General features: G+C 33.9%; 1 annotated feature.

The window, feature by feature from the left end:
• Positions 6,481–6,560: an enhancer, noted in NCBI's record as "active region_20981". NCBI's record gives its function as "activates an Ori minimal core promoter by ATAC-STARR-seq in GM12878 lymphoblastoid cells {active_cell/tissue: GM12878}" and the evidence as "EXISTENCE:reporter gene assay evidence [ECO:0000049][PMID:35858748]".

Below are 13,978 nucleotides of genomic sequence, written 5' to 3' on the forward strand. Positions count from 1 at the left end.
ATTCTCCGTCATTCTCCACCCTGTACTGTGACCTAGGAGGCTGACCTCTGAATTTCACTGTCCATGCTCCTATGCTCTCTGTCTTCCAAATGGATTTGCCAATGGGTGGCATCATCAGGAGATCAGAGGGAGAAAATTTGTCCCCCTTAATGCTTTTTTTGGGGCCATGGGTGGACAATGACTTCCCTCTATGGCTACAACTTGTTTCAGCCCCAACTCCTGAGAATGACATTTCTCCATAGATGTATCACGCCAAGTGCTGGTAATTGCCTCTTTCCTCTGCCCCTTGGTAGAATCTGGGTCCTTCATCATCCTTCATTGTTTTACCTAAACATTGTCCACAGCCTTGTAAATTGTTTTTCATTCAACTGTCTTCAACAACAGTGTGCCATCTGTTTTCTGCTCAGATTCCAACTGGCATAATGTCTAATGATTCCCTTCTACGAAAATTATACTTCCTCTCAACATCTACTCACAGATTTATAGATCTTAATTTTTTAATTGCCCTGCTAGATACCTTTATAATTCTACATCATAGACTGTAATTCCTATTTTTTTCATTTATACATTTCAGGTATTCATTGACTTCCCAATAGGAAAGATGAATAATTTAGCAACCCTACTGTGCCTAAGGGAAGAAATTTATCAGCCAGAGAGAAAGAGCTGTGCATGCTTACAATTATTAATAGAAAAACATCATGTTGGAACTGTGTTTGACCTTCAGTCAGTGTATCCTGCATTCCAGCCAGAATTTTATCGCTATTATGTATAAAAATCTATGTCATTTAAAAAATAGTATTTTTGGTATGACTTCTAACACATATCACAAATTTCCTCTTCAAACGTGAAATGCATTCAATAATAAAATAATCAGGAAATGGAAGTATCATATGAAACTGAGTCTATCATTTAGATGATTGTTACTGCCTTTCTGTAGGTAATCTTATTTGGAGGTAAAGAACTAGAAATAGGTTCTTTTGATATTGACATATCTTGAACAGCCACACATAGAAATATGTTGCCATGGAGCCCAGTAAATGGTAATTCAGATTTGCTAGGCCTTGGCTAAAAACTGGATTCATAGAGCTCTGACTCCTTCAAATTCCTAGATTTTCACAGTTCAATGTGCTCAGTGAGCTGGGGCACTGTCTGTTGGAAGAATATGTATCTTAGACCTTTTCCCTCCATCGGCTTTCCCAACTCTATCCTTTCAGTCCCTCAGGCCAAATACCTTGAAGTTATTCCTAATGCCTCTCTTTCTCTTATCTCTACATCCTATCCTTTAAGAAATTATATTTTCTCTTTATTAAAAATTTATATTAGATGACAGGTGAGTAGATATTACTGTTTCATTTTTATTTTTGAGACTGGAGAGACTCAAGCAGGTTAAGTGATTAGATCAAATACGCACAGCTAAGGAATGTATTCTAAAAAAATTAGGAGATGTAAACAGGAAAATAATCAGCCACACAGATGCCTCCTTACCCTACAAATTATTTTTTGTAGTGTCATACCAAAAACATTTGTTATAAAGCATTTGTGCTTCATGCAATGAATTCTTTCTTATTTATTAAAAAATATCCCTTTTTCCTCACTATGAGACAGAACTTATGATCTCGATGAACTGAGTTTACTGTGTTTGAACCTGTTTGTGAGTTTCACTGTTGCTATTTTCACTTATTCTTTTACTGTGCCTTTGCTAAGATACTGATACTGAGAGTTTTGTGTTTTTTCTTTAAGTCTGTTTACATGGATTATAAGTGGGTGAGGTTTCATAAAAGAAAAATCTTTATAAAAATACTCTTTAACATCAGCTTATATTAGCTATTGTTAAGTTGAACATGACTGGACTGAGAAAATATTTCAGTTGTGTCTGTGTTAAAGGCAGTTCTCACTGTCTTTCACATTGTCCTTTACGTTTAACTAGTATTTTTCTGTCTTTGTGATAGGAATTGTTTAGGCAAGATTTCTTTGTTATTCCTGAATCACGCTTGCATTTATTTATTTTTTCAAGTGTTTAAAGGAAGTCATGAGAAAATGTATTTCTCTTTTATTTTAGAAAGAAGTTGACACTCTGCTAAAGCAGCCATTAAAAAAAAATCTGAAATGATCTGAGCAAATAAAAATGAGCAAATGTCAAGAATGTAGAATCATGAGAATTCAACAAAGTATAACAATGGCCTTAATATTTTAAAATAGCACGTTTTAGAAAACATTGGAGATAAGAGAAAGTAACTTATGGAAAAAAAAAGATCCATCAACAAAAAGTTTAAGGCAACCAGATCTGCCTCTTACAATCTATGTTTTGTTGGTGTGAAGTGAGTCTAAAGAGTTCTATAAGGTCATTTATAATACATCTGATGGATGTTATAAGGTGTAGTATGAAGGCAGTAAAAGAGTCTGGATTACTTTGAAGTTTGATGCGTATGTCTCCCAACTCTTATGTTACAAGTAGGGCAGAGAGAGTGACATGACCTAGTCTACATACCTGGATGTTGGAATCCTAAGCCTAGTTCTACAAGGAACTAATTCTGCCACCTTGGAAAAGTAATTTTCCTCTGTAGAGGTCAGGTTTCTTGTATGAAAAAGTATATTGGCTATTGAATCTGTCTTATTCTGTCCTTTTTCAACTGACAAGTATTCTTATTGGGTGAACTGTCCTAACTAAAAATGTCAGTACATTCTAACTGTAAATGTTGCAGTGTTAGAAACTTAAAATTTTGGAAGAAGTGAATAATTGAAATTAAAAGACTTGCCTCTTAAGAGATATACTAGTATCTAGCTAGTAGCTTTTAAGTTTTGAAAGCCTTTACTTCATGGGGCTAAATAAGATTCATGTGCTCAAAGTCACAATATTTATTTATTATAGCATCTAACTAGTATCTTTCATATACAAATTCATGTGACAACCTATAATTACATTTATGATATAGAGTTACAGTATAGCAGCATACCATAAATCACGGCAATGAATTATGGAGCATCTACTTTGTGCCAACTATTTAGATACTTAGATACTTCACATAAGGTTTCATTATAACAAGTCTACAAGTATAATATTACTTTACACTTATATACTAAACACAGATAGCCCTTAGAATGTTTAGTAGTTGTCCGTGGTCACACATTCTAGCAAATGGCAGAATCTATACATTTCAAATTCTAATTAAAAATATTTTCAGATAGGAATTTAAATATGGATTTCATTAACATTAAAGTCTATACTCTTCCTTAAACCAAGTTGAGAAGACATCTATCGTGGGCTCAGAATTCCATTCTTTTCCCTATACTCGTACTTTCTTCTTCTGGATCCTGGTTTTCCTCACTGTAATGGAAGAATTAAACCAGGCGATCTCTACTTATTTCTACAGTCTTAAGATAAACTATGAATACACTTATTTGAGCTCATGTCCCCCTTCTCTCCGTAGTGCATTTACAAGACCTGTCAGATAATATTTTTGAAGCATTAAGGATGAAATTTTACTTCTGTTGTTTTCTCTTTAACTCCTCCTCCATTTAGGCAGGCAGACATTCTTTATGTTGCCTCAAAAAAAAAAAGATAGCAAAAATAAAAAAGAAGGGGAGAGGCAGTCTTTGGCTTTTAAATTTTGAAAGCCTTTATTTACTTCATGGGGCTAAATAGGATTCATGTGCTGAAAGTCACAGATTTGACAGCATATGGGATGGGAGGGGAAAGGGGGTTATTTTCCATGCTAAAAACTTGAAAAGATCCTTCGGATTATGCAGGAAAAAGCCTGTGCTGATGTGATGAATGCAGAGCTCACCAGATCCCAGGAAGAGATGAACTGATCTTGAATGATACAGACAGAAGCAGTGTTAGCAGCTGACACCCCTTCTCCCCTAACTCTCTCTCGCTTGTGCTCACTCTCAAGTTGAGCTATTGCTGGCTAGGGCTTAAAAGCCACATGAGAGTAACATCAGACTCATAGCCACTCACTCAGTTTCCACTGGAATGAGAAAGATAAATAACCTGGAGGGAGGGGTTCGGTTACCTTTCATGATGGCATCTAGCCAACGAGACAGAAGCCAGCAAGTGGCCCCACTGGCTGTCCAGTGGAAGTGCTATTTATCCTGCCCAGTCCCCATCTGACTTGCCTCATGTAAGGACTCATTTTAATATCCCACAATATTGATAAGCCCTCTAGATGGAGAGTTACATCAGGGTAACTAGAGGGATAGAAGCAGTGTGGAAAACAAATTTCCTACCTTTTCCCATTGAACGTCCATGTTTGTATATGGGCAGGACTGAATGTAACCAGCTCTTAATTTCCTACACAAACAAGTTCAGCAATAAAACCCACCTTACAAAAAATAAGTCCTGCTTGTTAATTTAGAACATAGTAAGAATTTCAAATAGAGAAGATTCTCCTTAAGGAATAAAACATAATGTTTTGGGCATATCTTCCCATGAAAAAAATCATTTTAGATTAGAAAACTTTCAAGGCACTGTTGACTATTCCTTGTAGTTACCCCCAAGATTGAAGTTATTTTTTATACTTTTTATTAAGCTTCATGGGATTTCAAAACCCTGAAGTTTATCTACCTCACCTCCAACTCTGCCCTGAACAACGTGTGGCAAAAGGTAGAGTTTATTAATTCCTATTCCCAAAGGAATACACGATCCGATGGGAATGTGGGCCTGAGTCTCATTATTGTACCAATGTTTTAAAAAAGGATACCTCCTGGGTAGCTAGGTCTCACTGGTTTTGCCCAAGTACATTTATTAAACAGTGATATGGTTTGGCTGTGTCCCCAGCCAAATCTCATCTTGCACTGTAGCTCCTATAATTCCCATGTGCTGTGGGAGCAACCCAGTGGGAGATAATTGAATCATGGGGGCGGTTTTCCCCATACTGTTCTCATGGTAGTAAGTATCACGAGGTCTAATGGTTTTATAAGGGATTTCCTCTTTCTCTTGGCTCTCATTCTCTCTTTGCCAGCCACAGTGTAAGACATCCCTTTGCTCTTCGTTCATTTTCCACCATGATTGTGAGGCCTCCCCAGCCATGCGGAACTGTGAGTCAATTAAACCTCTTTTTTTTTTAAATAAATTATACAATCTTGGGTATGTCTTTATCAGCAGCATGAAAACGGGCTACTACAAACAGGCTTTAATGACTTAAGTGTGTTGTGTGTGTGTGTGTGTTTTGGAACATCTCCTATGGTACACTATTCCTAGATAGCATTTGTTAATAGCCTGACATTCCAGGAAAGTGCAGATATGTGCAATTCCAAACACCACGCATAACCAGCACCAAGTATCAGAGAACTTACTATAGTCATAAATGCTTCTTAATTAATGTTTAATTCCTGCTGGTGAGGTAAGGTTAGTGACATTAAATATATATCACATCCTGAAAAGAGCCTGATGAGAGATCTTTGCAAAATAGAAAACTCTCTCTTTACGAACACTATGCAATTAGGATGTTGGCAGCTAAATTTATCTGGACATCAGCTCTCAGTCAATACAATGTATTTTCATTTTATATCACAGTTCGAAGTGGCTAGTTGAGGATTATAACTTTGGCAATAGCCTATGTTAATTTTTATTTGCCAACTTAAGAAACATTATCATTGCATTCTTGTTTCAGCAACCTGTAAACAAGTGGTCTGTACCTTCATCCAAATTACTACCTACTGCTCCATTATTCATCAAACATTCATTAAATATGTATGAGAGTTTTCTTTCTGTGCAAGAATTGGGAGTGGTGCTATGGGACTCTAAGGTGAATAAGACACAGTCACTGAGCTCAAATTACTCTGGGTGTGTGGGAGAGAGACAAGTACTCTAAGAATCACATGAAACATGACCCAACCCAGCCACTGATTTTATGAGCTTGAACTTTTTTGTGATATTGACCATCTTCAATAATTAAATCTTCCATAAATAGTAAACATATATATACATTTATTCAAAAAATGTTTTTAATGATGTGTTTTATATCAAGTATTATGCTAAGTACTGGAGATACAGGCAAAATTAAATATAGACTGGACCTTAATGAGCTAACAGTTGGACAGCAAAGGCAATCACTAATAATGTGCCATAAAGTATGTATATTGTACCACAGACTAGATTTAATGCCCCAAAAGAACCCCAAATACGTTTTGAACAATAGTAGTATTATTAAAATAGTTGTAAACTTCTAAGGGGATTATTTTGAATGGATAAAAATGAATCTGCATTTATTTGGATGCATTGTCTCTGGTCTGGTCTTTAAATGTACCCACACATGCACAGTATAGCATGGTACAAAAGACATTGTACTTGGAATTTTGAGATCTGGCTTCTAGTTCTATACTTTCTACGTTGATCTTGGGTACTCTCTTACTTGCTCTGCTCCTTAATTTTATGTACTGTAAAATTAACATTGACAAGTTAGTCTGTAACACCTGGGGCAATCCAATATTGTACAACTGTACGGAAATTGCAGACTTGACTTCTTCAATTGCAAGGTCAATGGTGAAAAAAACTGACTCTGCTGGTTTGAAATGACAGGACCAACTGTATTAATACCTTCATGAAATGAAATAGAAATGGAACTTAGAAACCACAGGGACTTCCCAGTGAGTTGGTGAAAATCCCTTCTTCTCCAAAGTCTAGTTACTAGCTTCCATTTCAGGTATAAAAGTTTTCATGAAAACAAACCTGCTTAAAATGAAGCTATTTGTGACTGCAAATACTTTCTTTAAGGTCCAGGACACATTAATACCTTGGCCTGAAGTTGTACTTAATACAGAGGATTAGGGTATTTGATGTGAGAGGTGAGACATCCTGAGGTTAGAGTCTGAAGATGATGATATCACTCGCTTGGCTCCTTACTTATGAGACGTCAAGCAAGTTCTATGCCAATGCAAGGGGAAATTTCTCCTTAATTTGTTTGTCACAAGTCCTGAACAAATAACCATTTGTTTACCTAATATTGTCCCTTGAAACACACTGGGCTATTGCCAAAGAAGGAATAGTAAAAGTACCAAAAAAAAAAAAAAAAAAAGAAAGGATGGTGCCATTTCTACCACATTTTTTAGGGGAAGTTATAGTCCTAAAAAGTGAATGTCTTCTCTCTGATCTATCTTACTTTCCAAGTATGCTAAGTCTTCACTTAATGTCATTTATAGGTTCTAACTGTGACATTAAGCAAAAGGACATATAATGCAGCCAGTTTTCTTCCTTATCAATATTATAACAAAACAATGTTGAACAAAATGGCATTATTCAAGGAAATGCCGTATACTGCTTCACTTAAAGTTGCAATATCCAACAACCTGTCATAGACATTAAGTGGGGATTTACTGTTAAGTTGATCTTGGCTAACAATTATTATTAATTTCTTTTATGAACGTAGATTATTGGGTTGAAAGTTTTAATTCCTGATATTTTTCTTTACTGGGCATAAAAAAATTCCATGACTGTTTCAACCAGAACCAGTTTTGTGGACAATTATACCTAGAATGAATAGATGAGGAATTATTTTGTTGTATATGTGCACTGGAGATTATTCTATGATATGTTGATAGGAGACTTTGACAGATGGTTGGTCTGGTGCATTATAGTAATGGGATGGACTCCTGACTATATGGTTCTTGGACACATTAAAAGTGCCTTTTGAGCTTTAGTTCTCTCAATGCAAACTGGAACACATGATATACTTTTCATCTCCCAAAGAGCAGTGGTGACAGAGTGTTCCTTGAATAATCAAAGGTCTAATAAATTATCTTTTAAATTTATTTTTCAAAACAAATATTCTTGCTCATGTGCCACAGGAGACTTTGCACTACAAGAAGGCTTTAGTCATTAGGGAAAGACGTAATCACAAACTCCTTTTATCAAGTCATAGTCCATGGGACAGATGGAAAGGCAAACTAGCCAGCAAATGACATGGTCTCATATCCTGCCAGAAATTGCAGTAGTAAGAGAGCTCCAGTTGATATCTTATATTAAGTTCACTCTCTGGTATTCTAATGGCTACTTACCAGAAAACAGCTCATCCATCCAAACCTGCAGGGATATCTCTACTGAAAAACTGGCAGCCTTAAGGGACCATAAGTTCCATTTGTATTTAAGTAAACACCTGTTAGTATTAGATGTCATAGGTTGTTGGAAGACTGAGCTACTTAATAGGATCATGAAATATAAATAATGTAAAGAATATTTTTGGGTTCCATTAAATACCTTTTAAAGAATCAGAGTCTGGAATGCCAGAGGAGGTATAAAACTTATAGATCATCTAGTCTCCTCCCTCTACTAGCAGATGAAAAGACTGAGTCTTAAGAGAAATTTAGGCCAGGCATAGTGGCTCATACCTATAATACCAGCACTTTGGGAGCCTGAAGAGGGAAGACTGCTTGAGGCCAGGAGTTCAAGTTCAGCCTTGGCAACATAGTGAGATCACCTTCTCAAAAAGAAAATAAAATTAAAATTAAAAAAATTAGCCAGGCATGATGGCATATACCTGTAGTCCTAGCGACTCAGGGGATGAAGCTAGAGGATCCCTTGAGCCCAAGAGTTCAAGGCTGAAGTGAACTATGATCATGCCACTGCCCTTCAGCCTCTGTGGCAGAGTGAAACCTGTCTCTTAAAAAAAAAAAAGGAGGAAAGAGGGAAAGAAAGAGAGAGAGAACTTGCCCAAAGACACACACCTAACTACTTGCTGATGTAGAATTTAGGTCTAGGTCTCCTCACTCCTAGTTAAATGTCCAGTTCACCATCTTCCATTTCACATTTCCTGAATGCCTATTATTTGGTACTTCCAATTAGTGATAGATTACTAAGATTTATCTCTGACTTAAAGGAGCTCATGGTTTAATGGAGGAGGGAGAGATGTGAATTACAAATATTAGGAAGACTATGTAAGTTTCCACAGTGGAGGAATACATAAAGAGTATGTAGAAACAAAAGAGCTAATAGGTGCTCTTTGGATTGCATGCATCCCAAATATATAAAGTAAAAGAGAATTTTCATGAAAGTTCCCTCTCCAAACCTTACATGTCTGGATTCACCAGCCTCATCCATTCCTTCTGTGAATTATTATGAGTTTTTAAAAATATTAAGTGCTATTCAATGAAAAAAGTGTGTAAAAATGTAGATTATCATCTCATTTATATAATAATAAGACATAGGTATAAAAACAAATAAAATAAATATTTTCTGAGGGCTAAAACTATGAATATTTTTGGTCCCTTGAAAATGATATTGATTGCTAATCATAAAGTAATAAAAAATATATATTTTTATTATAAAATTAAAATACAAAACTCAAAACTTTAAAAATTTTAGGAAAAAACATAGGATTATATATTAGTGGAATTAGGAATTAGGAAGGATTTCATAAACAAGTTCCCAATATCATAAACCAAAAAATAATATTATTGAAAATTTTGACTTCATTAAAATTTAAAACTTATTTATGAAAGGACACTGTGAATCTAAAATTAAGTCAAAGAGAGGAAGAAGATTCTTCCTACACAAATTAATAATGAATAATAAAAGTTATGTCTAAAATTTATAATGAACTTCTAAAAATAATGAGAAATTGTCAAATAATCTAATATAAACACATGTTATATACAGGCATTTCAAAGAATGAGAAATCTGAAAGACTGTATATGAAAATATATGAAATCTCAATAACAACCAGATAAATGTTTATTAAAATCACAAAGAAATGCCATTCACATTCATTATATATACAAATTTAAAACTTGGCAAATATCAAGGGCTGTTGAGGATAGAGTCAAAAGGCTCATATACTGCTAGTGGAAGGGTAAATTAGAAAAGTAACTTGGGAGCTCAATTTGACAATATCAGGTAAATTTGAAAATGCCGTATCTTATGATTCAGAAATTTCATTTCCAGGAATATTCCTTATGGGAACTCTCACATATCTACATGAATAAATGTCTATAAGAATGATCATTATGACAGTTTATAAGACTAAAGTTGGGATAATTTATATGTTCTTCAAAGGAAAAAGAATATATAAACACAGTGAAATTCTAGGAAGCAACTAAAATAAACTCGATCTTCATGTATCAAGATAGATAAATTAGATAAATATCAGATCCCATAATGTTGAATGTAAAAATACAATAAAATTGGATGCATAAAGTTTAATGTCATTTAAAATTTGTCAAAATTAGTACAAAATATTATAAATATCAAGTATACAATATAATGGGAAAGATGCATATTAACATTAGGGCACATATGAACTTTGAGGAGGGTAATAGAATTTCAGGGGTGTGCAGGATATCATTAACCTTTTATTTCTCAGTATTATGTCTTTAAAACCATATTTAATTTTTTAATGTACTTTTTATTCTAAAAGAATTTTTTTTTAATTCTGAAGCCAATATAGAATATAGCAGTATTATATAAATCTGAGTGGTATTTATGCATATGTCTATTAATTATTTTTTATATATTTGTATATTTGAAATATTTAATGATAAATATTAACACATCAAAATCAGGACATATTGGATATTTATTTAAACTAACAAATTGTGAATAAATGCATTTATGAATCTATTGGGATACTGAAGAGTAGATATTTGATTATCTGAAATAATTTTTTTTTTAAGGTGATATTTATCTTATACCAAAATATTTACAGATAAAATGACGTCTGAAATTTTCTTCTATATTATCTATAAAGGATGGAAATGGGTAGGAGTATAGATGAAATAAGATTGGTTTTGAATTAATTTTTGAGGCTGGAAGATATATATATATTAATTCATCATACATATTCAGCATACTTGTCTCTACTTTCCCACAATAAAAAGTGGAAAATATATATTGTGTTTTTAGAAAAGCAAGTCATAGAAAAAAAATGACAGTGCAGTTTGAGTTCTCCTTTACCATTTCCATCAACACCATTGGCATTTCCAGACCTCTTCTCTGAAGTTCTGTATGCATTAATACCTGTAGAAATGGAAGTGTATGGTTTTGTACATGCGTGTTATCACATTGGACGTATTCTGTAGCTTCCCTTCCTCATTGCCATAAACAACATTTGTCAGACATCCACTTAAGTCAGCACACTTTTCCTACGTAATTATTTTTAAGGCTGCATTAAACTTCACACAACAATGTCCCATATTCTCTTATTGATTGATAGATGGATATGTTTTTTAATACAATTTGAAACTTTGTGAAACATACTGCATCTAAAATCCTTGTGTAAATGTTGTGGGTCTATTTTTCATTATTTTTAACTATTAAAGATTAAATTTTCTACAATTAACATAATATGTATATTTATAATTGTAAAATACATGCATATAATGATAAGTAACATATGAAAAAGATTCCAATGAAAATCAGCAGTTCTCTGGATTATAATTTTCTGCTGTCCAGCACATTTAACAATTTCTGAATCTAGTTCATCTGCTAGTTTTTCTAAAACTCTAAATCTGTACTTATATCTCTATTTTCTTCAAATTAGTAGATGTTATATGACACCTATTTAGTAGATGTTATATGACACCTATTTCTATCTGTATTTTCTTCAAATTAGTAGCTGTTATATGACACCTATTGGCCCTCCATTTAGCATTATTACACAACTTCCCATTTCTTCCCCAAATTTAAATAGTTTTATTATTATTTGTAGTTCTTTCATTGATTATATTTGTAACTTTAAATATAAGTTATGCTACTGAAGATCATAAAAATATAAGTCCTATACCTCTATTTCTTGTTTCAGCAGCTTCAGACATAGCTCCTTACTATGTAAAATGAGAAAATTGTATTTCTATCCTTATGTTCACACCACTTCCCCCTTCCAACACCCAACTCCTGTCAGCCATACTTTTATACATGAATTAAAGTTGACATTTGCATTATCTTCTGAAACTAAATTTTTTTTACTTTTTATATAAGTTGACCTTAAAAGTTGAATACCAAAAAATATATAATATTACTATGATTTTATAAATCTTGCTCGTTTCAGTCAGGGCTAAGCATGCTAACATTTCTAAGATTAATTTCCTTTTCTAAAGATAGAATGCTATGATTCCTTTGTGTTATTTGGTGGATACTTTTCCTAGAATCTGTGTTAACTGCATTCACTTTTCTTACATTTCATCAACTGCTCAAAATTTTGTTCCATTCTTGTTTCCTTTACATTTATACCATGATTTTTCTATGTATAATAATTTTAAAAATTAACATCCTGTCTAACATCTTGTCATTCTTGAAAACTACGTAACATGACTTCCCCCATTCCCACATTGTTCAGGCTTTTGGTCAGTCAATTGCATGGAATTCCTTCCTTTCCTTTCTTTCCTTCCTTCCTTCCTTCCTACCTTCCTTCCTTCCTTCCTTCCTTCCTTCCTCCCTCCCTCCCTCTTTTCTCTTCTCTTCTCCTCTCTTCTCTTCTTCTGTCCTCTCCTCTCCTCTCCCCTCTCTCCTCTCCTCTCCTCTCCCCTCCCCTCGCCTCCCCTTCTCTTTTCTTTCTTTCTTCTCTTTCTTTCTCTTTCTTTCTTTCTTTCTTTCTTTCTTTCTTTCTTTCTTTCTTTCTTTCTTTCTTTCTTTTTCTTTCTTTCCTTTCTTTTTCTTTTCTTTTCCTTTCTTGTCTTTCTTTTCTTTCTTGAAACCTTCTCTCCCATGTCCTATGATAGTTGAAAATACTTATCTTTTATATCTACTTGCAAGGGTATCATACTGAAGCTTCATTGTGCTCCTAAGTCCAAACCTCTTTTCCTGGATTCCATATTTTCCTTTTTTTGCTTGTTTTTCTGGAGTATGTTATCAATTGACTTGCTCATATAAAGCATATGGGAGACACAATTTGGGGGTTGTTTCTTATCTGAAAATCACTTTATTTTATAGCAACACTGGTCTAACAATTTGGCAGGATATAAAACTCTGTTATATATAATCTTTCCTCACAACTTTGAAGGTGTTTTTCCACTGCCTTCTAACTTACGAAGTTAATATTGAGAAGCCTGCTGTGAGTCTCATGCTCATTCTTCTGTGGATATATTTTTATTTCTTCTCTTTCTGTCTGATTTTGGGATTTTAAGATTTTCCCTTTGTTCTTCATTTTCCCAAGTAAGGAAGGCATAGGTAGTCAATACATTAATTTGTTCATTTTTGCTCTCTATACACTTTAAGAACCTTCTAAATATGAAGACTGGTGTCCACTTTTATCTCTATAAGATATTCTATTGTTGCTTCTCAGCCTTTTGGCTAAGATCCTGTGTAAAAATTCTATTATTGCTTTGATAATTTTTTCCATAAGTTTCTCTTTCTGAAACTTCTTGGTGGATACCATAGTTCCTGACTATTTTGTTGTGTCTCTTTCATTTTGTTCTCATATTTTATATTTCTTTTTATTTACCTCTACATCCTGGGATTTTTTCAAACTTTTCTTCAAAAAGTTTTGTTTGGATTTCATTCCTAAGAATGTATTTTTAATCCCCAATATCTCTTTTGAATTCATTGATTGATCATTTATTTTTACCTTTTTTCAAATTTCATAAACGAACTATCTTCTCAACACCCTCTGACAGTATAATAAAAATTATTCCTATTTCTTATGTCAAGTATCTGTTGCAGGATCCATTATTCTTTACTCATATTTTATTTTGATGGTATTTTTCATTATCTCATGCTGCTGTATTTCTATTCATACAGAAAAATTAGAGGTTCATCTGGCAATTTGGCTGCGTGGATGTGGATCTCTCCTGCTTTTGTACATGTGACATGTGGGCTCTTTTCCTGCTAGACTTCTTTCTGAATGGAAGGCTGACAGGACATTCAATGCACTTAGCAAAACTTATCAATTGCCAGTCTTAACATTTGAGTGGCAGGCCAGAAATGAACCTTTAACCTACGAATTTCCAAATGCAAAATAAAAAGGAATTTTAATTTGGGTTTACTAGCACCCACTTTGAGATCTAGTACCCATCTTGGTCATCTTAGCCATCCCAAGGATCCATCTGATTT

Source organism: Homo sapiens, chromosome 3, assembly GCF_000001405.40.
Source record: "Homo sapiens chromosome 3, GRCh38.p14 Primary Assembly".
Lineage (NCBI taxonomy): Eukaryota > Metazoa > Chordata > Mammalia > Primates > Hominidae > Homo > Homo sapiens.